General features: G+C 39.6%; 1 protein-coding gene and 1 pseudogene across 2 annotated transcripts in view; one reads left to right on the top strand and one right to left on the bottom strand.

The window, feature by feature from the left end:
* Positions 1–27,188, top strand: part of MLLT3 (MLLT3 super elongation complex subunit) — a 280,831-nt gene that overhangs the window by 71,769 nt on the left and 181,874 nt on the right. The gene's annotated exons all lie outside the window — the stretch shown is intronic.
* RPL7AP48 (ribosomal protein L7a pseudogene 48) lies at positions 17,332–18,205 on the bottom strand (annotated as a pseudogene).

Below are 27,188 nucleotides of genomic sequence, written 5' to 3'. Positions count from 1 at the left end.
AAACAAGCTTTATCATATTAAAAAATACACACAGCTGGGCACAGTGGCTCATGCCTGTAATCCCAACATTTTAAAGAGGCCGAGGAAGTTCAAGACTAGCCTGGGCAACATAGTGAGACTCTGTCTATAAAAAAAAATTTAGTCATGTGGTGGTGGTGTGTGCTTGTGGTCCCAGTTACTCGTGGGGTGGGAGGATCACTTGAGTCTGGGAGGCCGAGGTTATGGTGAGCTGTGATTGTGCCACTGCATTCCAGCCTGGGTGACAAAGCAAGACCTGTCTCAAAAATAAAAAACAACAACACACACACACAGTGAAACGAATGGCACCAAGGAAGAAATCCAAGTGCAAGAAAAGAGGGAATCATACAATAAGAACAATAGGGTGGAAAGCCAGGGTGAAATACACATCTCTGATGAAGGAAGGGCTGTGTATCTGGGTCCTTACTTTTCCCCTTTTACTTGGGTGCTTCTGTCATTATTATTTGTAAGTCACTTCTCTCATGAAGTGCTTTGAGCTTTTGGGGCAAGTAAGAGTAGAGAAACTAGAAATAGTTGGCAATTCATTATCAACCTTGTTACGTGGGATTAGAACTATTGTCTAAGATGGGATTGTGAGTTTTTGAATTGTAGGTGAGATTTTAATGCGTGTGTCCATGCCCCCATTATTGAAGTGGGTTTGGAGTTCATGATATTAGAAGCAATTCCTTAGTTAGCAGTTCTTGTAGATGAGTGATGAGCCACAAGATTTCTGTTGAGATCAACATTCAGTTGTATGAAATTCTTGAGGTGCAGAGGGGAGTAGAATAGGAATTTCCTAATTTGGTTGGATTGACTCCATTTTGGAACTAGATTTTCTGCACGCATGTGCTAAGAAGAGAGATGGTGGTCACAGTGAATGGATCACTGCGCAAAGATCTTTGGTGAGTAAATGTGGAAAGAAGTTTTCATGTATTTGTATTTCTGTCAGGGTGGGATTAAAAGGTCTGAGTAGGTAGTGGTCTTTATAATTCTCAGACCAGCCAAGGTGAATTTGATAGTCTTGGCTGTACAGCGTAGTGGTTAAAAGCATGCCATTTGGAGCCAGACTGTTTAGGTTCAAACCTTAGGTCTTCCGCCAGTCGCCTGTGTGACCTTTGTTCATTAACTGTCATTTCCATACTTTCTTCATCTTCAGAATGGGTCGCATAAAGTACCTGCTTTCTAGAGTTGTTGGGCAGATTAAACGAGTTAACTACGTAAAATGCTTAGGACAGTTCCTGGCACGGAGTAAATGGCATATATGTGTTAGCTATTATTATTACTACTAATATTATTAGTAGGAACTATTTGAGTTAGTCGTTGTTGTTGTTATAAACCATGCTGGGTTGGTAACAGAGATTGTTACCAACAATTGTTGGTGTTTCTTTGTAGAGAAAGCAAAGCCTGATGTCATTTTTATCTTTGTGTCCAGTGTTTTGGCTCACACAAATTATAGCTACTTGGCTTTTCTCATTCTGATGTTGCCAAGGAATCTTATAATTTAATCAGTGATTTGAGTGGCCTGTGCCTTGTCAAATGAAGGCACTATTCCTAATGCCTCATTTTATTATTATTGTTATTTTTGTTAATATCTTTGAGGCAGGGCGTGATGGCTAATGCCTGTAACCCCAGCACTTTGGCAGGCCCGGGTGTGTGGATTGCTTGAGCCCAGGAGTTCGGGACCCACCTGGGCAACATGGTGAAACCCCCTCTCTACAAAAAATACTAAAATTAGCCGGGTATGGAGATGCATGGCTGTAGTCCTAGCTACTTGGGAGGCAAAAGTGGGAGGATCAGCTGAGCCGGGGGAGGTCGAGGATGCAGTGATGGTGCCACTGCACTCTAGCCTGGCTGACACAGTGAGACCCTGTTTGGAAAAAAAAAAAAAATCTTTGAGCAAAATATGTGTTTTGGTAAGTTTGAGAATATTCAAATTCCCAACAAATATTGCCCATCAGTCTTTCAAAGGCATTCAGGTGAGTAGTTTATTCTTTTTGCAGCTCCTTGCTGCCTTTTTATCAGCCTGCTGCCCAGAGCCCGCAGAAGAGATTACACCTGGGACAGGGGATGACTTTTCTTCAATCTTACTCTTAACAGGGCCATTCCAAATGGATTTTAGAACAATTTCACATAATTAGGGTAAGCAGGTTTTACCCTTGGTGTTTCCAATAATTAATTATTACAATTAAAATCCATTTACTGTATGTACTCCAATGGGATGTCAAATGTAATCTGTATTTAGCACCCCCCTGGAAAACTTAAAATATTTTCATTTACCATTGTTCAGACTCCAAATGCTGATGGCTTTTCAGAGAACAAAAATGTCTTCCTTGCGGAGGAGGTTAATCTCAGCCTGTACCAGTTAGATACTACGAGAGCCATCATAAACGCAATGTCAGAGAACTGGAGAAGATAGAGCCAACTGATGAGATAGATGCTTTTTCCTGTTCCTGTTAGACATATGCTGTCCAATATGGCAGTCACTAGGCAAATTTGACTGTTGAGTACTTGAAATGTGGTTAGATTAGAGAATTGAATTCTAAATTTCATTTAATTTTAAACTTAAACAAGAGGCTTGATTCAATTAATGGAAAATTGTAAATATGTTTAGAGCAACTTGGGTATGTGAATCTACCTTTTCAACTGTAAAGTTTTTTTGGACTCTAGATACAAGTCAAGTAGTCAAATGAAAATTTAGCATCTGAATTGAGATGTGCTATAGGTGTAAAATATGTACCAACTTTTATTTTGTTTTATTTTTGAGATAAGATCTTGCTGCGTTGTCCAGATGGGAGTGCAGTCATGTGATCTCAGTTTATTGTAGCCTTGAGCTCCTGGGCTTGAGGGATCCTCCCACCTAAGCCTCCTGAGTAGCTAGGACTATAGGTGTGCACTACCACACTTGGCTAATATTGTTTATTTTTTGTAGAGGCAAGTTATTGTTCTGTTGCCCAGGCTAGTCTTGAACTCCTGGGCCCAAGTGATCTATCTGCTTCCACCTCCGAAAGTGCTGGAATTACAGGCGTGAGCCACTGTCCAGTGTATGTACCTTTTTTTTTTTTTTTTTTGAGATGGAGTTTCACTCTTGTTGTCCAGGCTGGAGTGCAATGGTGCGATCTCGGCTCACTGCAACCTCCGCCTCCCAGGTTCAAGAGATTCTCTTGCCTCAGCCTCCCGAGTAGCTGGGATTACAGTGCCCACCACCACACCCAGTTAATTTTTTTGTATTTTAATAGAGACGGGGTTTCATCATGTTGGCCGGGCTGGTTGTAAACTCCTGACCTCAGGTGATCCACCCACCTCGGCCTCCCAGAGTGCTGGGATTACAGGCGTGAGCCACCATGCCTGGCCATGTATCAAATTTTAAAGACAGTATGAGGGCCGGGCATGGTAGCTCACACCTGTAATTCCAGCACTTTAGGAGGTTGAGGCAGGTAGATCACTTGAGCCCAGGAGTTTGAAACCAGCCTGGGCAACATGGTAAGACCTCATCTCTACAGGAAAAAAAAAAGTATATGAGTACAAGAATATAACATATCTCAATTTTTAATATTCACTACAAAGTGGAACTATTTTTGGTATATTAAATAAAATATTATGTTAATGTCACCAGTATCTGTTGTGCCAAACTCCTATTGACTCCAGTGGGGATGGCACCAGATTCAAGAGGCCAAAGAAGAGACCCAGAGCCAGCAAACAAGACATGGGGTGTTTCTGGGCCTTATATACGGGGAAGAATCCAGTGGCAGCAGGCTGGACAGGGTAACTGCACAGGCCAATGGCAGCAGGCTGGGCAGAAGAACTGCAACTGCTTGCAGAAGGCATGCAGTTTATGTAGCATTTTTACTTAGCACCCTCCTCTAACAGTCTCCACCTGGCAACCTTCGTTCAACCCGAAACAAAGAGCCTCGATCCCCTGTATGGCCCCTGCCTGTTCCACGGGACAGGATGGGAGTGAGAGAGGGTAAAGACTTGGATGTTCCTCATAGTTAAGGAATGGATCTCCGGGTTGGCCTCTCCTGGATTCCTTAGCTTGGAACTCTAAATGCACATTCAGGTGCATCTGCCATACAGGGTCATTCGCAGGTATGCTTAAGTTATCACTGTCAGGTGTGTCTACCATACACAGGTTCGTCTACCATACAGTAGATTTTTTTTTTTTTTTTTAAGTGATAGGTTCTTGCTCTGTTGCCCATACCAGAGTGCAGTGGTGTGATCAGAGCTCACTGCAGCCTTCAACCTCTTGGGCTTAAGCAATCCTCCTGCCTTGGTCTCCTGAGTAGCTAGGACTACAGGCATGTGCCACGACATGTGCCAGCTAAGTTTAAAATTTTTTTGCTGAAACAGTGCCTCACTGTATTGCCCAGGCTGGTTTCAAACTCTGGGCCTCAAGCCATCTTCCTGCCTTTATTTATTTATTTATTTTTTAAGTGGCAATGGGAAAACTTTAAATTACATGTGTAGATTGTGTTATATTTGTATCAAGCAACATTGTATTCTCTCTTTTTACAATCTGTGTCTTTGGAAGCATTTTGATAAACTCCTACGTTCCTGTGTGTTGGGAGTTCATGTTCTGGAAGAGGTCAGAGAAATAAAAATCATCTGGAAATAATATTAGCTTAATATATGTTGAATATGAAAATAATCTCAATCTTGTCCCTTTCATAATTTCTTTTTTTATGACTGTTTTTTTAGAGATGAGATCTTGCTGTGCTGCCCAGGCTAGGGTGCAGTGGCACGATCATAGCTCACTGCAGCATTGAAACACTTGAGCTCAAGTGATCCTTCTGCCTCAGTCTTTCTCGTAGCTGGGACTGGAGATGCTAATTTTTAATTTTTTTTTTTTTTTTTTTTTTGGTAGAGACTGGGTCTTACTTTATTTCCCAGGCTAGTCTCGAACTCCTGTCTTCAAGGGATCCTCCCATCCTGACCTCCCAAAGTGTTGGGATTACACATGTGAGCCACTGGACCTGGTCCCCTTTCATAATTGAATATGAATGTTTAACAAATAGATTTGCTGCTCGGGCTGATTTAAATCTAATACGGTTAAAGATGTATGACTAAAATACAAGGTTGTTAAATAATACTTTGTATATAGGTAATATATTCCTGTGTACTAATTGTTTTTATTGTGGCAAAAAAACTTTTACACATAACATAAAACTCACCCTCCAATAGTTTCCAAATGTACAGTATACTTTTGCCAACCACATGCATGTTGCTATGAAACAGTTCCCCAGAACTCCTTCCACCCACCCTGTGTGATTACAACTCTGTACCCATCTAACAATGGATCCCCTCCCCTTCACCCCAGGCCTCAGGCAGCCACCATTCTACTTTGTGTTTCTGTGAGTTTGACCACTGTAAATGCCTCATGTAAGTGGGATCATGTGGTATTTGTCTTTTTATGACTGATTTATTTCACTTAGCGTGTCCTCAGGGTTCACTCTTATAGTATATGACAGAATTTCTTTAAGACTCAATAACATTCCACTGTATGTATATAACACATTTTGTTTATTTATCTTTCAATGAACTTTTAGGTTGCTCCTCCTACCTCTTGGCTATTGTCAATAATGCTGCTGCTGCTTTTTTTTTTTTTTTTTTTTTTTTTTTGTAGAGATAGGTCTTGCTGTGTCACCCAGGCTGGATTGCAGTGGCGTGATCATGGCTTTCTGTAACCTCGAGCTCCTGTGTTCAAATGGCCCTTCTACCTCAGCCTCAGCTATAGCCTAGCCTGTAGCTAGGACTACAGATGTGCGCCACCACGTTGGCTAATTTTTAATTTTTTTTAAAGACAGGTTCTTACTTTGTTGCCTAGATTGGTCTCAAACTCCTGGCCTCAAGCTGTCCTCAAACCTTGGCCTCCCAGAGTGGTGGGATTATAGGCATAAGCCATGCCCGACTGAGTAATGCTTCATTGAACGTGGGGGTACAAATATTTATTTGAGATACTGATTGCATTTCCTATGGATATATACCCAGAAATGGGATTGCTGAATCCTATGGTAATTCTAGTTTTAATTTTTGAGGAATGTTCATAGTGTTTTCCATAGCAGCTCTACCATTTTGTATCCCCAATGACAGTGCACAAGGATTCTAATTTCTTTACATCCTTGTCAACACCTATTATTTTCTGTTTTTTCAGTAGTGGCCATCCTACGTGGAAAAGATGGTACTTCATTGTGGCTTCATTTGCATTCCCTGATAATTAGTGATGTTGAACATCTTCTCATATGCCTCTTGGCCATTTCTATATTTTCTTTGGAGAAATGTCTGTTCAAGTCCTGTTCAACCTCTTATCAAATAGATGATTTGGAAATATTTATTCCCATTTCATAGGTTGCCTTTTCATTTCATTTTTTTTCCTGCATGGAAGTTTGTGAGCGTGGTATATATAGTCCCATTAGTCTACTTTTGCTTCGTTGCCTATACTTTTGCTGTCATGCTTAAGAAATCCCTCCCAAATCCGATATTCTGAAGGTTTTCCCCTATGTTTTCTTCTAGGAGTTTTATAAAGTGTTATGTTTTGGTCTTAATCCAACTTCTTTTTCTGGCATGTGGAAATCCAGTTTTCTCAGCACCATTTGTTGGAGAGACTATCCTTTCCCCATTGTGTAGCCTTGGCATCCTTGTTGAAGATCATTTGTCCATATCTATAAGACTTTACTTCTGGGTTCTCTATTCTGTTCTGTTTATTTATATGTCTGTCTTTAGGACAGTACTACACAGTTTTGATTCCCCTGTTGTAGGGGAATCTTGTTTTATTGTGCTTCACTTTATTACGCTTTGCAGATAATGCATTGTTTACAAATGGAAGGTTTGTGGTAACCTTGCATCAAGCAAGTCTATTGGCACCATTTTTCCAATAGCATATGCTCACTTTGTGTTCTTATGCCATAATTTGGTAATTCTTGCAATGTTTTCAGTTTTTTTCCTCCTCCTCCTCCTTTTCCTTCCTTTTATCCTCCTCCTCCTCCTTCCTCCTTCCTCCTCCGTCCTCCTCCTCTTCCTCTTCCTCTTCCTCCTCCTCTTCTCCTTCTCCTCCTTCTTTTCCTTCTTCTTCTTTCTGGGACAGGGTCTCATTCTTCTGCCCAGGTTGGAGTATACCGGCACGATCATAGCCCGCTGTAGACTCAAACTCCTGACCTCAAGCAATCCTCCCTTCTTGGCCTCCCAAAGTGCTGGGATTAGAGGCATGAGCCACTGCACCTGGCCAGTTTTTCATTATTCTTATATATGTTATGGGAATGTGACTAGTGATCTTTGAAGATACTATTGTAACTGTTTTGGGGGCACCATAAGCCATACCCATGTAAGACTTGAACTGTGTATTCCAGTGAAAGGAAGAGCTGCATGTCTGTCACTTTAAATTAAAAGCTAGAAATGATTAAGTGCTGTGAGGAAAGCATGTCAAAAGCTGGGTGAGTTAGGTCAAAAGTTAGGCCTCTTGTACCAAGTAGTTAGCCAGCTTGTGAGTGTGAAGGAAAATTTCTTGCAGGAAACTAAATGTGCTCCTTCAGTGAACAGTCGAATGTTAAGAAAGCGACACAGGGTTATTGCTAATATGGAGAAAGTTTAGTGGTCTGGGTAGATCAAACCAGCCACAATTTTCCCTTGAGCCAAAGCCTAATCCAGAGCAAGGCCCTAAATCTCTTCAATTCTTTGAAGGCTGAGAGGAGTGAGGAAACTGCAGAAGAAATGTTTGAAGCTAGCAGAGGTTGTTTCATGATATTTGAAGAAAGAAGCTACCATTATAATATGAAAGTGCAAGGTGAAGCAGCAAGTGCTGACGTAGAAGCTGCAGCAAGTTATCCAGAAGCTCTAGCTAAGATCATTGAGAAAGGTGGCTACACTAAACAACAGATTTTCAATGTAAACCAAACAGCTTTCTAATGGTGAAGATACCATCCAGGATGAGGAGTCAATGCCTAGCTTCAAATCTTCAAAGGACAGGATGGCTTTCTTGTTAAGGGCCACTGCTCATTTACCATTCTGAAAATCCTAGGTTCCTTAAGAATTATGCTAATTTTACTCTGCTTGTAGTGTAGAAGTGGAAGAGCAAAGCTTGGATGACAGCACATCTGTTTACTGCATGGCTTACTGAATAGTTTAAACCCACTGTTGAGCCCTACTGCTCAGAAAAAAAAGACTCCTTTAAAAATATTACTGCTCTGGCTCACGCCTGTAATCCCAGCACTTTGGGAGGCCGAGGCGGGTGGATCATGAGGTCAGGAGATCGAGACCATCCTGGCTAACAAGGTGAAACCCCATCTCTACTAAAAATACAAAAAATTAGCCGGGCGCGGTGGCGGGCGCCTGTAGTCCCAGCTACTCGGGAGGCTGAGGCAGGAGAATGGCGTGAACCTGGGAAGCGGAGCTTTCAGTGAGCCGAGATTGCGCCACTGCGGTCCGCAGTCCGGCCTGGGCGACAGAGCAAGACTCCGTCTCAAAAAAAAAAAAAAAAAAAAAAATATTACTGCTCATTGACCATGTGCCTGGTTACAGAAGAGCTGTGATGGGAATGTATGAGGAGATTGATACTATTTTCTTGCCTGGCAACACAACACCCATTCTACAGCTCATGGGTCAAGGAGTAATTTTTGACTTTCACTTACTATTATATAAGAAATATATTTCATAAAGCAACAGCTGCCATAGATAGTGATTCTTCTGATAGAACTGGGTAAAGTAAATTGAAAACCTCTGGAAAAGATATACTATTCTAGATGCCATTATGAACATTTGTGATTCATGGGAGGGGGTCAAAATATCAACATGAACAGGATTTTGGAAGAATTTGATGACTTTGAGGGGTTGAAGACTTCAGTGGAGGAAATGACTGCAGATATGGTAGGTGTACTAAAAGAGGTAGAATTTGAAGTAGAACCTGAAGATATGACTGAATTTCGGCAATCTCATGATAAAACTTGAACAGATGAGGAGTTGCTTCTAATGGATGAACAACAAAAGTGGTTTCTTTGAGATGGAAGCTACTTGATAGGGTTTGGCTCTATGTCCTCACCCAAATCTCATGTCAAATTGTAATTCCCACATGTCAGGGGAGGGACCTGGTGGGTGTTGATTGGATCATGGGGGCGGATTTCCCCTATGCGGGCCTTATGATAGTGAGTTCTCATGAGATCTGAAGTTTTAAAAGTGTGGCAGGTCCTCCTTTGTGCTGTCTCTCCTGCTGCCATGTGAGATGTGCCTTGCTTCTCTCTCTGCCATGATTGTAAGTTTCCTGAGTCCTCTTCAACCATGCAGAACTGTGAGTCAGTTAAATTTCTTTTCTTTATAAATTATCCAGACTCAGGTAGTTCTTCATTGCAGTGCAAAAACAGACTAACATAGAAAATTGGTACTGGTAGTGTGGCACTGCTGTAAAGATACCTGAAAATGTGGAAGTAACTTTGGAACGGGGTACCAGGCAGAGGTTGGAACAGTTCAGAGGACTCAGAAGAATACAGGAAGATGTTGAAGTTTGTGAGTTCCTCAAGACTTATTGTATGGTTTTGACAAAAATGTTGATAGTGATATGGACAGTGAAGTCCAGACAGGTGGTCTCAGATGGAGAAGAGGAACTTATTGGGAACTGGAGTAAAGGTCACTCTTGCTATAATTTAGCAAAAAGGCTGGTGGCATTTTACCCCTGCCCTAGAGATTTGTGGAACTTTGAACTTGAGAGAGGTGATTTAGGGTATATGGTGGAAGAAATTTCTAAGCAAAGAGCATTCAAGATTTGACTTGGATGTTTCTAGCAGCATACAGTCATATGCATTCACAAAGAGATGTTCTGAAATTCGAACTTATGTTTAAAAGGGAAGCAGAGCATAAACACTTGGAAAATTTGCAGCCTGACCATGTCGTAGAAAAGAAAAACCCATTTTCTGGGGAGGAATTGAAGCTGGCTGCAGAAATTTGCATTAGTAAAGAGGAGTGAAATGTTAATAGCCAAGACATTAGGGAAAATGCCCCCAGGGTTATATCAGAGACCTTCACAGTAGCCCCTCCCATCACTGGCCTGGAGGCCTAGGAGGGAAAAATGGTTTCAGGGGCCAGGCCCAGGACCCTGCTGCTTTGTGCAGCCTTAAGACATGGCACCCTGTGTCCCAGCTGCTCCATCTCCAGCCCCACCCACTTCAGCTCCAGCCATGGCTAAAAGGGGCCAAGGTACAGCTTGGGCCATGGCTTCAGAGGGTTCAAGCCCCAAGCCATGGTGACTTCCACGTGGTGTTGGACCTGTGGGTGTGCAGAAGGCAAGAATTGAGGTTTGGGAACCTCTGCCTAGATTTCAGAGGATGTGTGGAAATGCCTGGATGTCCAGGCAGAAGTCTGCTGGAAGGGTGGAGGCCACATGGAGAACCTCTACTAGGGCAGTGCAGGAGGTAAATGGGTTGGAGCCCCTACACAGAATCCCCACTGGGGCACTGCCTAGTGGAGCTGTGAGAAGAGGGCCATCGTCCTCCAGTGACACCTTGCACTGTACACCAGGAAAAGCTGCAGACACTCAACACCAGCCCGTGAAAGCAGCTGTGGCGGCTCTACCTTGCAGAGCCACAGGGGCAGAGCTGCCCAAGGCCTTGGGAGCCCAGCCCTTGCATCAGCATGCCCTAGATGTGAGACACGAAGTCAGTGGAGATTATTTTGAAGCTTTAAGATTTAGTGACTGCCTTGCTGGGTTTTGGAGTTGCCTGGGGTTTGTAGCCTCTTTGTTTTGGGCACTTTTTCCCTTTTGGAATGGGAGCATTTACCCAATGCCTGTACCTCCATTGTATCTTGGAAGTAACTAATTTGTTTTTGATTTTATAGGCTTCTAGATGGAAGGGACCTTCCTTATGTGGAAGGGACTTGCCTTATCTCAGATGAGACTTTGAACTTGGACTTTTGAGTTAATGCTGGAATGAGTTAAGACTTCGGGGACTGTCATGAAGGAATGATTGATCTCACAGTGTGAGAAGGTCATGAGATTTGGGAGGGGTCAGGGGAAGAATGATATGGTTTGGCTATGTGTCCCCACCCAAATCTCATGTTGAATTGTAATCCCCGTGTGTCAGGGGAGGTATCTAGTGGGAGGTGATTGGATCATGGGTGTGGATTTCCCCCATGTTATTCCTGTGATAGTGAGTCAGTTCTCACAAGAATTGATGGTTTAAAAGTGTGGCACTTCTCCCCTTGTTCTCTCTCTCCTGCTGTCCTATAAGGTGTGCCTTGCTTCCCCTTTGCCTTCAGCCTTCAGCCATGATTGTAAGTTTCCTGAGGCCTCTCCTGCCATATGGAACTGTGAGTCAATTAAACCTCTTTTATTTATAAATTACCCATTCTCAGGTAGTTCTTTATAGCACTGTGAAAATGGACTAATGTACTACTCTTGGTAAAGATGCTGTAAACATTGTTGAAATTACAACAAATGTTTTAGAATATTGCATAAACTTAGTTGATAAAGCAGTGGCAAGGTTTGAGACGATTGACTCCAATTTGGAGGAAGTTCAACTGTGGGTAAAATGCTATCAAACAGCATCACATGCCACAGGGAAATCTGTTGTGAAGGGATGAGTCAATCCATGTAGCAAACTTCATTGTTGTCTTATTTCCAGAAATCACCACAGCTACTCCAGCCTTCAGCAACCACCACCCTGATCAGTTGGTAGCAATCAACATCCAGGCATTACTGCTCCCCAGTGAAAAGATTATGATTTGCTGAATGCTCAAGTGATTGTTAGCATTTTTTTTAAAGCAATAAAGCATTTTAAAGTTAAGGCATGTACATTTTTTAAACACATAATGCTATCGCACATGTGTATATTATATTATAGTATAAACATAACTTTTATTTGCACTGGGAAACCAAAAAATTTACTTGACTTGCTTTATTGTGATATTTGCTTTGTTGTGGTGATCTGGAACTGAATCCACAATATCTCTGAGGTATGCCTGTGCAGATTTTTAAAAAACATTGGTGTTTTATTTATGTTTTTAAGGGACTAAATAGGAATGTTTAAAAACTCGATTTGTAATGCCTTACTTCTTTAATTTTATATAGTTTATAAATTTTTGCATTTTGTATTCATTTTCTCTTTCTGGGAAGTGTAAGGGAATTTCCTTCTTTTCTCTTTTATCTCAAGCATGTTTGGAGCAACTTTGGTATACGAATTTACTTTTTCAAAAGAAATTGCAGATGGTGTGAATTTAGATAGGAATGTTTGCCTTCTCAGGTATTCCTGATATTGAGGTGGAGGTTGGAAGCCAGGAAAGAAGGTTGGGATTGTTTAATATGGCATGCTCTAGAAATGTGGTTAAGACTCTGGAGCCAGATTGCCTGGATTTGAATTTCAGCTGTGTTACTTACTTACTTATAAATTTTGGGCAAGTAATTTGACCCCTTTGTTTCAATTGCCTTATCTGTAAAATGAAGATAATGTTAGAAACTACCTCAGAGAAATGTTTCAAGAGTTAATTGGATTAAACACAGTGCTTGGCACTCATTAAGTGCTATTTCAATGTGGTATATTTTATTACTTTGAATTTTACAAATAAAAGTGAGAATAGTAGCTAAATTCTTAGGTTCTAAAAAAACTAACCTTTCTAATTCCATCAGCAATAATGAACACATGGGGCACAAATAATTTTTTTCCATAAGAATTCTAACACCCAGATGGTATAATGGGAGACTTTATCTTCTCAAGTCAGTGGAGGTTTCCAAATCTTTTAATAGTTATATGAACCTTGCATTTATATTAAGGAATATTATAAGTCTGCCATGTAGTTTATCATTTGTCTTCTGATTTGTAATTAGTTTTTAAAATATATGTTTCAAACCTAGGCTAAGATGAAGATTAATGTATTTGGACAGCATAAACTATGATACTTTGATGTTGGAGTGCTTATAATATGCCATGTCTGTCAAATACATTTTGCAACTTAGACTTTATTTTCATAGGGCAATAAATCATCTGCAGGATCTGAAGTTTATAAATTTAATGGTAGTGCTTTTAAATTTCTTCTTCTTGGTGTTTTAATTACATTTAGCTTTTGTAGCTTGCATTGCTTTATATCTGAATTAGTCCAAATATTTGAAAATAACCATGTGAAAATTCACATTGGAACCAAGGATTTGTTTGAGATGTATACATGTGAATTGGCAGGACTCCCTCACCCCCGCTTCTTTTTAAAGTGTAAATGGGTGAAAAATGTTAAGTGTTCTTTTATTAGGAAAACCATGCACTGGAGCTTATGACTCAAGATGTTTATGAAGGTGAGATAATCATCTGTAGGAAAATAAAAACATTCTTCAGATAAGAAAGCCTATCTAAAATATATTTTCTTGTACAAAAAGAATACATCATTTTCTGTAAATTGTACATTTCCGTAACAGATTAAAAAATAACTCTGCCCCCTACTCTAGACAAATGTAATATTTTCACTTATATGGAATACATTCTATTCTGTATGTAGTATGCATTGATTTGGCCTTAGCTCTTTCTTGCCCAGCTTTAATAACATTGAGTACTCATTTGCTTTTTTCAACCTATTTCAGAATGTATAATATTTTAAATATCTGTAGTTAAGAGAAAGGTAAGTGTATATGAATGCATATGTTGAAACAGCTCATATATGGCCTTAAATAATTGGCTACTTTGGGACTTCCCATCTATAGTTTTACAGCTGGCAATGCAGGGCACCTAGGTTTCATGGTCCTGGATGTTTGTGTTTCTGAAACCTTCATTATAAATGAAGAACCAGACGGTTGTTCTTCATTCAGGCTGCCATCATAGATGTTCTGGAAAGCTGCTGCTGTCTATAAATGTAGTGCTTATGTTTTCTGCACAGTATGTGCTTGTTGGCAGTTTTTTTTTTTTTTTCTAGTTAAACAGCTACTACCTGCAGGAGTCGTCCCATACTGGAGTGGAGAAAAAATAGTCTTGGCTAGGTAGTTTGTAGTAATTTTGTATTTTTAAAAGATGCACACAGTAGATTTTATTAAAACAAACAAAATAGGCACTACTACAAAAGATTACCCTTCAGGAAGACTCATCAGTAATCCAATTTAAAATTGAAGGGACTTTGATTACAGTATTATGCCTTACCTATGTTACTATTTTCCCTTTGGTTCACTTTTTCTTCTAAGCTAACTGTGGCTACAGTTGGCTCATTAGACTGATTCCGAGAGAACAGTAGGCATATAGCATTTTAATTTTACGGGCTAGCATTGCATATTGGTTTTTATGGCGTGCTCAGTATTAAAGGCAGTGGGGAAAAGGGTTGAATAATCCCAGTATACTCTTTTTGCCTAAATGATACCCATCAAAATCTGGAGTCAGAAAAGGCTTTCTCATGGTGTCTTCTTTTATTACTGTGTGCCCTGCCAAAACCCTGGACACTTGCTCACTCCCAAGGACAAGCATGAGCTAGAAGTATGAGCTCTACCTCACTTGTAGGATAAATACCACAAAGCCATTTTCTTCTTTCTGTTTTGCTATCCATTTATTCCCTGCTGTCCAGTTTTTTTGTTTTGTTTTGTTTTGTTTTGTTTTGTTTTTAAAGATGCTGGTAGTAATGGTAGTCGCATGGCTGAATTAATGACAAAGCATAGATTTCTGGCTCTTTGATTTTTCTAATGGATTGATTGGCTCTTTGCCTGCTTGACTACATTAAGAAAAAAAATCCCCCTTTAAAAATTACAGTCAGAAATATACCTGTGATGGACTTTTAAAAGCTACTTTATATTTAATAAGTACAGGAGGTCCTTACAAGTTTTGTTTAGTAATAAAATCACATAGTCATGTCTGCCTCTTGGTGGATTAAAAGGCAACCTCATTGGGTCTAATTTATGCATTGTTTGGATATTTCTAGCTTAAAAATGGATGGGCATCTTCCTATTTCTCCTAACACTTGCCGGTATCAAACAGTTTTTGCAGTGATGTCATTGAGGATGTGGGACATGTGGGAGTTGAGAGGATCAGCTAATGTCTCCTGAACTGAATTTAATTCTGGTGAGCATCTCTGCTGTACCAAGACCCTGCTGGTTCAGGGCTGGTCAGTACGTATTGTAATCCTAAACGTGTGCTCCTTGCAGAGTCTCTTCCTGCTGAGCGAATAGAATATGGTTTTCTTTCAGTAACTATTTTTTTGTCTCTCATTACTCAAATATTTTATGATTGATTTTTTTGGTTGCGCATTTCCTTTTTTCTTGGTTTCTATTAAAAGTTATATTGTGTTTAAAAAAGGCTTGCTGGCTGTGGCCTCTTTGGCACCAGGGCTTTCTGGGGTAGACCTGATTGACCCTGTGGTGCTGCTGTACTTCTTTTCTTACATTATGTGATGGAAAAACAGTGGTCCCCAACCTTTTTGGCACCAGGGACTGGTTTCATGGAAGACAATTTTCCATGGATGGGGTGGGGGGATGGTTTCGGGATGAAACTGTTCCACCTCAAATCATCAGATTAAATTCATCATTAGATTCTTATAAGGAGTGCACAACCAAGATCCCTCACATGTGCAGTTCACAGGAGGTTTCACACTCCTATGAGAAACAATCTAATGCCACCACTGATCTGAGAGGAGGTGGAGCTCAGGCGGTAACGCTAGCTCACCTGCCGCTGACCTGCCGTGTGGCCCCGTACCTAACAGGCCAGGGTTCCTAACAGTACCAGTATTAGGCCCTGGGAGTTGGGGACCCCTGCTATAAAAGACTTAGTCTTTGAAGTTTGATCTGCTCATTCTTGTTTGAGCAAACCATGATTAGTTCATGTCTTTGGTTCCTAATCTATTTTTTCTTTATAATTTTCTTCTTTTTATTTTATTTTATTTTATTTTGTTTTATTTTTGAGATGGAGTCTTGCCCTGTCCCCCAGGCTAGAGTGCAGTGGCATCATCTCAGCTCACTGCAAGCTCTGCCTCCTGGGTTCATGCCATTCTCCTGCCCCAGCCTCCCAAGTTGCTGGGATTATAGGCGCCTGCCACCACGCCCAGCTAATTTTTTGTATTTTTAGTAGAGACAGGGTTTCACTGTGTTATCCGGGATGGTCTCGATCTCCTGACCTCGTGATCCGCCCGCCTTGGCGTCCCAAAGTTGGGATTACAGGTGTGAGCCACTACGCCTGGCCTTTTCTTTATAATTTTCTAAGTGCTTATGTGTTTAGTGTGCTTATTGAGGAGAATAGTTAGAACACAGTGTTCTGTTCATCCAAGGAGGACAAAGCAGAGTGAAAAATGAAGGGGAATGCTACTAAAGTTCAGAACTTTTCACATGATTGCATGAATTCATAACTATTTCTAAACTTTAGATTATTTGGAATGATCTGTTTGATAGCTTATATAAAGGATTAAAATAGGGCCATAGGATCACTATTTAAATTGGACCTTTCTCTTTTTCAGATGTTGAAAGCTCTAAAGATGCATTTCTAATGAAGACTTTTTCCCATCGTTGCCATTGCTGTTCATTTGACTTGCTTTTTAAAAGTTGGGTCAGTTCTCCCACGGTAGCAACTTTCCGAAGACATGACTTACAAAATTTTTAGAAATAAATTTGCTAAACATTTCTCTTTCGAAATATCCCTATTTTGTATAATAACTGTTGAATATTCTGGTGGTAGCTTTTTTTTAAGGATGACTTTTATTTACTTAAAAATATTTAATTGACAAATTAGGATTGAGTACAAGTTATACAGCCTGATGATTTGATATACGTGTACATTGTGCCATGACTACCACAAATTAATTCACATATCCATCACCATCCATGCTATATATATGAGATCCCCAGAAGTTAGATTTTAACTGAAACTTTGTGCCCTTTGACTAACATGTCCCTGATTCTCCCACCTCTCAGCTCCTGGCAACAACCTTTCTTTGCTTCTATGACTTCAGCGTTTTTAGGTTCTACCTGTGGATCATGCAGTGTTTGTGTTTCTGTGTCTAGCTTATTACACTTAGCATAATGTCCTCCAGGTTCATCTATTTTGCTACAAATGGCAGGATGTCCTTCTCTTTTATGACTGAATAATATTCTGTTGCTTATATGTATCACAGTTTATTCATCTGTGGATGGACACTTGGCTTGTTTTCATATCTTGGCTATTGTGAGTAATGCTACAGTGAACATGGGGGTGCAGATATCTCTTCAAGATACTGATTTTATTTCCTTAGGACATATACCCAGTAGTGAGATTGCTGGATCATATGGTAGTTCTATTTTTAATTTTTTGAGGAACCTCCATACTATTTTCTATAATGGCTGTACCAATTTACATTCTGGTGGTAGATTTTTTAAACAGCCATCAAGATGACATTTTCTTTTCTTTTCTTTTCTTTTGAAGGAAAATTTGTTTTATTTTAATTATTTTTATTTCCAGAAAACTCAACAGTGTACATTTAACCCAGTTTGGTGGCAAGTTCTTTAGCCTTTGCCTTTTTGAGCTTGGCAATGTGAGCCACAGTCTAGGGACCCAGTGACGGCAGATCTCATCATATCTGTCATTATAATTGGTCCTGATGGCTTCCACCAGCTTAGTCAAAGCTCCTTTGCCTTCCAAGTTAACCTGTGTAAAGGTGACGGTGGTGCAGGTCTTCCTGTGAACTAGATGTCCCAGACTTGCCTTCTCCTTGGTAATGCACTTAAGGGACCCCCATTTTACGACACAGGGCAGGCAGGAAGACAGCCAGCTCAATGGGATCCATGTTGTGTGCAGTCACCACCAGCTGAGCCTTTTTGTTCTCCACCAAGGTGGTGATGATATTAACTCCTGCTCGAAGGACAGGTGATCTCTTAGTGGGGATGTGCCCTTTGCTGGGAGCTTTCTTCTCAGCCCAGGCCAACAAGCTCTGCTTCTTGTCTTGCTTTGCCTCTGGTCTGTACTTGTGGTCCAGCTTAAGCAGCTGAGTAGCTGTTTAATGGTCCAGGGCCTGGGTGAACTGGTTAATAATCTCAGGAAGTGCTTTCAGCCGCTTGTAATAGGATGGCTCTGCTGCTGCAACCTGATATAGTGGGGCCATTTCACAAAGCGAGTTAAGTCCCTTTTGGGCTGCATATCCTGTCCAATGCCAAAATTCTTAGGCCTTTTCTCAAACAGGAGATTTACCACTTTCTTGGCCTCCTGCTTTTTCAGGACAGCAGGGGCCGGAGCCACCTTCTTTCTCTTGGCCTTCTTTCCTTTGGGAACCTTGGGTGGCGGAAGGAGAGAGCAAGATGACATTTTCTTAAATGTTCTAATGACCTAGGACAGAATTTATGATACAAGTTGAAAATGTAGGCTCAAATTATATACTATATGACTGCAACTGTGTTAATTTTTTACGATTATGAACATATTACATTTTGGTGTCTTTTACTATTCCACAAATTTTCACAGTTGTTACTCTTGGGTGATGGTTTGAGTGATTTATATATATATATTTTTTTTTCCTATTTTTTTACATTTTTCCATAATGTATTTCTAACAACAGAAGGTAATCTTTTAAAGTATTGCTGGTGAATGTTTGCGAGGGTCACTTTGGCTAAGCAGTATTTTCTAGATTATTGTGAAGACTTTATCACATAGTTGAATATCTTCACTTTACAGATTAAATGATGGCTGATAAGGTTTAATGTTTCGCTTGAGGCCATGACATTTAGGGGCCGTTAACAAATCTGTAATGGAACATAGCTGTGAAAACAACTTGCAATCGTTTTAATTTGGTCATTTTTGTGGGCTTTTGAATAGTGCTGTCTGTCACTAAGCTAACGAATAGTGAATGTTTTGTAAATATTTGTTATTTAGTCTAAACTAAAATGAAAATTTTTAGCTTTTCCTGTGAAAGCTAAAAATTTTCATTTTAGTTTATATTAAATAACAAATATTTATTCCTGTGAATCAGTAGTTTACACAGATAATATTGAGAGGCTTTCTTGGGAATTTGAAAGGAGTCTTCAAATCATCCTTTCCCTCAGAGATGAAAAAATATTTTAAAAAAATTACTGTCTTGTATATTTGATATTTTGAAAATGGCAGGGAATCAACAATTTGTTAATCTGTTGTTAAGATCAGTTATACATTCAGTGGCATACTTCTTGTCTTAGAAATTGGTTGAAATTAATATTGCTAGTGAAAGTGTGGAAATAGAAACAGTTGAAAGGAAGACAAATGAGAAGTGGACCTTGCTTCTCATTGAGGATGCTGCAGAACTAGAGTGGTTGCCAGCAGGATGAAATCTCAATTAATTGCTTGACAGAGAATTAAAACAAAGGCAAGTGGTGCTTTTAAAAAAGATAAAAATAGGTGAATATAAAGTTGAAAGGAGGCCAGGTACAGTGGCTCACACCTGTAATCCCAGCACTGTGGGAGCCCAAGGTGGGTGGATGGCCTGAGGTCAGGAGTTTGAGACCAGCCTGGACAACATGGTGAAACGCTGTCTCTACTAAAAACACAAAAATTACTTGGGCGTGGTGGCATACGCCTGTAATCACAGCTACTCCAGAGGCTGAGGCAGGAGAATCACTTGAACCTGGAAGGTAGAGGTTGCAGTGAGCCGAGATCGCGCCATTACACTCCAGCCTGGGTGACAAGAGCAAGACTATGTTTCCAAAAAAAAAAAAAGCAACTGAATATTGGATAGAGAGGAGAAAAAGGGCAATGTATCAAAAAAAAAAAAAAAAGCTAAAAGCAAAACTGGATTATTCTTGGATTTTTCTTTTTTGGGAAAAAAACTAGAAGTATCTTAAAAATATAAGTAGATGAATTAAATTAGGTTAAAAAGATGTAAATAAAATATGTAATACATAATTTGCTCAAAATGTACAAGCAGCGCCAGGCACGATGGCTCACACCTGTAATCCCAGCACTTTGGGAGGCCAAGGTGGGCCGATCACTTGAGATAAGTAGTTCGAGACCAAGCTGGCCAACATAGTGAAACCCCATTTCTACTAAAAGCACAAAAAATTATCCATGTCGTGGTGCATGCTTGTATTCCCAGCTACTTGGAAGGCTGAGGCAGGAGAATCGATTGAAACCCAGGATGTAGAGGATGGGCTACAGAGCAAGCAAAACCCAAAATGTGCAAGCAATTTATACAGGACTTTTGGAATCATGGTTTACTGAACACCTGTTTATATTCAGTAACTGTTTTTATGCATGTATTTACCAGAGAACAAGACATAATATAGGTACGGATTTCTGAAAACATTTTGCACATCTTGAAGGGAAGTTGCTGAATAAATTCCTCTCTCCGTCATCTAGAAGCTGACAGCTTAACCCCTTTATCTTGGCAGATTTAAGCTCTGAACATTTTGATAGGTGACTTGGCTTTGAAGTTTTTCCACTGGCCATACATTTTGCCTTTCATTGTATGTGAATAAAATACGTATGTTAAATCAAAGATTTAGTAACTCTTACTTAACAGTTTCAATATTGAAATATGTGTGTGTTCTAGTCTTGGTAATTTTTTATCCATGTAGTGAGAAGTAAGGGTAACAATGAAAATCCAACCGTTGTATGACTTCCTGGTCTAATCTTCCTTCATTTGTGAAATCAGTTTATTGAGATACTGTTTTTGCCACCTTTGCAGTTATTCATCATACTAATCAAAGTAAAACATGGCGTTTCTAAGCAAAATTAACAAGCATTAACATTTATGCCCAACTGTTGACGTGTATAGGCTTTCCTTTGAAATAGGAGGCATTTCAAAAAATACACATTTCAAAATAGAATCAACTGACTTTTGAGTTTCCCTTCTCTTTCTCAGTAGTGGAGGTGGTAAACAATCCTAGGTAAGTAGATAAAAGTGCAGCCCCAGAAAGAATGAAGAGGAATCAGAGACAGGAAAATAAAACCCTCAGTTTGTGTAACTGGCCTGGTTGATAAAGAATTGGATTACAGTGGGATGCCATGGCTCATGCCTGTCAGCTTTGGGAGGCCAAGGCAGGGGAATTGTTAAAGGCCAGGCGTTAGAGACCAGCCTGGGCAACACAGTGAGAACCCCATCCCTACCAAAAAAAAAAAAAAAAAAAAAAAAGGATTGGATTAATCATCTTTTCTAGTCTCTGAATTTTGTTTGTCATTTCTCATGCCTTAGTGTAGTGGTCTTTGATATAAAAATAAAATCATGAAACAGCAAGTATAATTCTAAAATGATCTCAATATGATTATTTTCATGAGTGGCTTATTCCAAACAAGCATTTGATACTTTTAGAGAAAGGTCAATTAAATGAACTAACTGGCGGTTCCTTTTTATGAACTAGACATTTATTTTGTACTGTATTTGGGTTTGGGTTTGACATTCTGCTAACATACTCTGATTTGGCTAAAAGTGTCATGCATCAGTTTTTAGAACTTTTAATCTGAACATATTTTCAAATTAAGTTACAAACGTGATTTTTAAAGGAATCTTTTCTCCCTAACGAGAAGAGGTGGTTGCATTAAATTGGTAAAAAAATAACAAAAACAAACCAAAAACAGTTTACTGTATAATTAAGGTCTCCATCCTATTTTGTTATTCTGTTGGGCTAGTGGTTTTTCAAACCTGGTTGCACATTTGGATCACCTGAGTTAATAAAAAAAATCCAACCAAACCTAGGCTGCATACCCAGATTGTAAGGCGTAGTCTCAGGTGTGGCCCTAGAGTCAGTAGTTTTAAAATGTCCCAAGATGATTTTAATGTTCAGTCAGAGTTGATAACCCTGATCCAGGCTCTCACTACTAATAGACATCTGTAGCATGACACTGGTAGTCTTTGATTTTTCTTGATTTTGGCCTTCAGTGTACTCTGAACTTTCATACAGTACACATTAAAATTCCCTACCCTGTCTACAGTTGGGGCCTTGTATATTAACTGATGAGAATGCTCAACAGTTTTACAGTAGGCTGCTGTTGTAGGCCAAATGCTGGTTCCCCAAAATGTCCACATCCTAATACCTGGAACCTGTAAATTTTACCTTATTGGAAAAAGGATCCTTGCAGATGCGGTAAATTAAGGATCTTGAGATAAAGAGATCATCCTGGATTATCTGAGTTTTCCCTAAATTTCATCTTAAGTATCCTAGTGAAATGAGGGTGAGATTTGACAGACACACAGAGGCGAAGGCACTGTGAAGATGGAGACACACATGGAGTGATGGGGCCACAAGTCAAGGAATGTCTGTCCGTGGCCACCAGGAAAAGGCAAAGAACAGATTCTCCCCTAGAGCCTTTGTGGGGAGCGCAGCTCTGATGAAACCTTGATTTCAGTGCAGTGAAACTGATTGTGAGCTACTCGCCTCCAGAACTGTGGGGAAATACGTTTCTGTTATTTTAAAGCACAAAGTTTGTGGTAGTTTGTTAACAGCAGCCACAGGAAACTAATATAGCCACTTTCCTGTTACCAGTTGGGTTTTGGCGGTGTGCTATCCCTGTCTACACAGCAGTATATATTTGTGTAACAGATTAAATGCATTATCCCATTTTATAAAAATAAGTTGAAATCAGAGAATGGCTTTATGTATTTGTGTGAACACACACATGGATATATTTATACACACACCCAGTGGTATAGCCATAATCTTAATGTGATTGAGATAAAGATGGAAATCATTAGGATGGGTCTTTAACCTCAATTAGATGCTCATTAGATTTAAGCTGTGTTTAATGATGAGGCAGAAGAACACAGTTAATGAACATGTACCAAATGCTGGAACTATTTTGTTGAAGATTGTTTCTAAAAACGTTACAGATAATTAGGGATTTTAATAAACTTCTATTGCACTGGGAATAGATAATCTCTCATAACATTTATTGTGCTTTCTTGGTTCTAAGGTGTAACACTTTCCTCATTTCTGAAATCAGGATACCGTGTAATAAATGTGCTCATTTAATGTGTTCACCTTAAGATGTTACAGAATTAATGGTGTCATTCTGAAATACAGGTATTTTAGAATTGTGGCACTTCAGCAAGCCTGTTGTTTGACTTTTCCAGTTTGACTCTTGGATATTCAATTTGAGCACATTTTTTTGAAATGCATTATATAAGAAGACCAAACATTACCTATATGAAATTCTAAAGCTTTTGATGTTCCAGTTTAGTTATTGTTTTTGTCTTCAGTTCCCAGGAGCTACCATAGTGGGAACTTTAATTTTGCTTGTTGAGATACAGACTGTTCAGTGGAAAAATCATGGACTTTAGAAGTGGCAGACCTCAGTGCTTAGGCTAATTCCACTGCTGATTAGCTGTGACATTAGGTGACTTTTCTTTGGTAAATACCTATATTACAGGGTTGTGATTAAATGAGATAAGGTATTTGAAGTGTTAAGTAAGGTCTGTTCAAAACTCCATAGACTACTGTCATCTGCCCTCATTTTTATCCAACCTATTTTGTGCCCAGTAAAGATTTGAACCTTAGGAAAGATTTGACCCTTAGGAGAGGAAATTATGTTAATCCAGGAATAAGGCTCATTCTGAGTTGAATTTTGCTGCTTATGGCTCTTTATGCTTTTGCATATTGTTCTACCTGATAAATGTATTAAATTTCTTGATGGTTCACCTCCAGATTTCCCTTCTTTATATATTCTTCTCTGTCCACAATAACCTTAAATTGATTATTCCTTGTTCTGTGTTCCTAGAACACTCATAGGCTGGTTACATAACCTTACCCTTTGATCTTACACTGTTCTTTGTCTTTTCCCTGTGTGTATCATGTTCATACTAAATAGATTAAAAGCTTTGGACCAAGTACTTGTGTCCAGAATATATAAAGGATTTTGCCAAATCAATTCAGAAAAGGCAGCCAATCCAATAGAAAAAGTGAATGAAAGACTTCAACAGACACTTCGTAAGTGTCCAATATATACAATAAACATATGAAAGGTGCCTAGCCTCATTAGTCATTAGGGAAATGCAAATTAAACCACAAGGTGATTTCACTACACCACCACCAGAATTGCTAAAGACAATGAAGTATTGGCAGGAATGTAGAACAACAGAAATTCTCACTCTGCTGGTGGGAATGTAAATTGATGTGAGCACTTAGGAAAACTGCCAGTAAAGTTAAACATAAACATACCCAAGGATCTAGCTGTTCTACTCCTAGGAATGTGCATATGTGTGTGTGGGTACATGTACAAGACATGTACAAGAATATTTCTAGAGTACTACTTATAATAGCTTAAAACTGTCAATCATTGTAGAATGTTCCTACAACAGAATGATCTACATTAGTGAATATGAACTAACTGCTGCTATACTCAGTAATGTGAATGACTCTTAAGAAGCCATACACATAAGCATGTGTATTCTATGCATAAGCCATACACATAAGCAATACACATAAGCATGTGTATTCTATGCTTCTGTTAATAAAAAGTTCAGAACCAGGATGGTACTACCTTTTGGCAGGTCTAGTTTGTGGGGTGTAGTAATGTTAGTGGGTACTGGGGAAGGCTTCTGGGAAACTGGTAATGTTCCATTTCTTGAACTGAGAGGTAGTTTATTGGGTTTGTTGATTTAGTTTAACTTCATCAAACTGTATACCTATTATCATTGCACTTTTCTGTATGTATGTACACTAGTCTTTGATAAGCTTACTTTTTAAAAAAGTTCATTATTGTCAGCTAGCAGAGTGTTTGGCACCTCATGGGTGCCTAATGAACACATCTTTTGGTTTTACGTGATTTTTATACCCTAGTATTTTATGGAATTTTTTTCCATGAAATGTTACAGTATTTTCTGATCTTGAACATACATATCTTCTCCAAAGCAATGCTTCCCACCACCCTTTCTACCTTGTCAAACTCCAAGCCTTTCTTAGTGATAGCCAAAATTATAAAATGTATTGCTTTTTTGGTCTCAGTACAAATGTTCTTGCCATAATTTTCAATAAATTCTTAAAGAATGTCACAACATGTAAATTTAGAGGGTCAGGCTTCAACCTAGACTACAATCGGTCTTGTGAGACCAGTTATAAGTAATAGTTTGATGAAAGGTATTAAAAGCCTGGACTGACACATTAAAAGGGCTGAAAAGAATCTTACAGCAACAAGGTTGTATCCTAAACCTATTAAATGGAGAAGCCTGTGTGCTCAGTGACCTTGGGACTGACTAGACCTACATTTGAGAGTTGACAGGAATGGTTTACAGATGAATGAAATAAGAAGCATGTGTAGTGGGGATACTGTTAACATTTGATAGGAGGAATGAAAACAAGAGCTTTAGATTTCATTTAAAACCTCAGTACTGTAAAAAACTCTAAGATGTCTTTATTTTTTATTTTTTATTTAAGTCAGAGTCTTACTGTTGCCCAGGCTGGAGTGCAGTGGCAGGATCTCAGCACACTGTAACCTCCGCCTTCCGGGTTCAAGCAATTCTCATGCGTCAGCCTACCAAGTAGCTGGGATTACATGTGCACGCCACCACACTCGGTAATTTTTGTACTTTTAGTACAGACAGGATTTCACCATGTTGGCCAGACTGGTCTCAAACTCCTGACCTCAGGTGATCCGCTTGTGTCGGCCTCCCAAAGTGCTGGGATTACAGGCGTGAGCCACTGTGCCCGGCCTTGAATTTGTCTTTCTGTTTGTAGAACTTATAAATGTTGAGGAGCTAGCTACTTTTTTCACGCCTCTGTTTTTTTTTTTTTTTTTTTTAGTCTTTCTTCTTAATTCTACTTTCTTGTTCATATCCTCTCCCCTGTCTCCTTCCTTATACTTCTCATCCCTTTCTTCCCCTTCCCTCTTTTTCCCCTCCTTTATCCTCTACCCTCACTGGGCCAAGCTACTAGGTGCCTTCCTGAATGCTGAGGATGTTGTAGCGCCCTCTGTAGCCTGACAGGGTTCCTGCTCCCTTCTGACTGAAGCTGCTCACAAGGATTTAGCATTTGTCTTTTTCCTTTTGGAAGGACAAGTTTTGACTTCTTGTCTCCTTTGGGAATACATTTGTGAAAACAAGCAAGGTAGAGGGGGTGTGGAGTTGGGGAACCTTCAGGCAAGCAGTGCCCAGCAGGAACCTCATTCAGAGATTTGCTGGGCTGGGATGAAGGGAATGGGGAACAGGTATGAGTGATAATCACACTTGAGATATTTGGTAAAACTTTTGGTGGGTCATTCATGACAGCTACCCTGTGCCACAGTAATTTTTATTTACTATTTTTATTTAAAAATGTTATTTCTGGGAGAATTGCTAGAGCCCAGGAGTTTGAGTTCACCTGGTAACACAATGAGAGCCCGAGAGCCTGTCATTTTTTTTAAAAAAAGTTATTTTTCGTTAGTCACCGTTATTCCTTTTCTCTGCTTTAAAAAGTATGGAAGATGATTTTGATTACAGTACATTTCATCTGGTGGAAACATTTCAATATTCTATTGTACTATGCAGTAGTTTTATAGAAGTTTTTGCAGAGATTGTTATACCAGAACTGAGATAAGGATCTTAATTTTGTATCTTGATACAAATAGTATTTTAAGAAGCAAAACACTTACTTTTTAAAAATTTAGAGGAATTTTAGGTTTACAGCAAAGCCAAGCAGAAGGTACAGAGATTTCCTATGTAACCCCCAACCCCACACATGCACAGCTTCGTCCATTATCAACATCCCCTACCAGAGTGGTATATTCTTGCTGTTGTATACTTTATGGGTTAGGATAAGTGTATAATGACATCTATCCACCATTATAGAATCACATAGAGCAGTTTCACTGTCCAAAAAATCCACTGTGCTCTACCTATTCATCCCTTCTCCCTGCCACTTCCCCTGACCCCTGACAACCATTGATCTCTCTGTGTGTGTCTGTGGCTTTTTTTTTTTTTGAGATGGGTTCTGGCTCTGTTGCCTAGGCTGGAGAGCAGTGGCATGATCTTGGCTCACTGTAACCTCCACCTCCTGAACTCAAGCGAACTTCCCATTTCAGCCTTCTAAGTAGCTGGGACTATAGGCACACTCCACAATGCCTGGCAAATTTTTGTATTTTTTTTGTAGAGATGGGGTTTCTCCATGTTGCCCAGGCTGGTCTTGAACTCCTGAGCTCAAGCGATTGCCCTCATCAGCCTCCCAAAGTGCTGGGATTACAGGCATGAGCCACCCCATCCGGCCCATTGATCTTTTTACTGTCTCTATAATTTTGCCCTATCCTAAATGTCATATAGTTGGAATCATACAGATGTAGTCTTTTCAGACTGGCTTCTTTCATTTAGTAAAATGCATTTCAGTTTCCTCATGGCTTGATAGCTCATTTCCT

The sequence above is a fragment of the Homo sapiens genome, chromosome 9, assembly GCF_000001405.40.
Source record: "Homo sapiens chromosome 9, GRCh38.p14 Primary Assembly".
Classification (NCBI taxonomy): Eukaryota; Metazoa; Chordata; class Mammalia; order Primates; family Hominidae; genus Homo; species Homo sapiens.
This window is presented reverse-complemented; position numbering and strand designations above follow the sequence as displayed.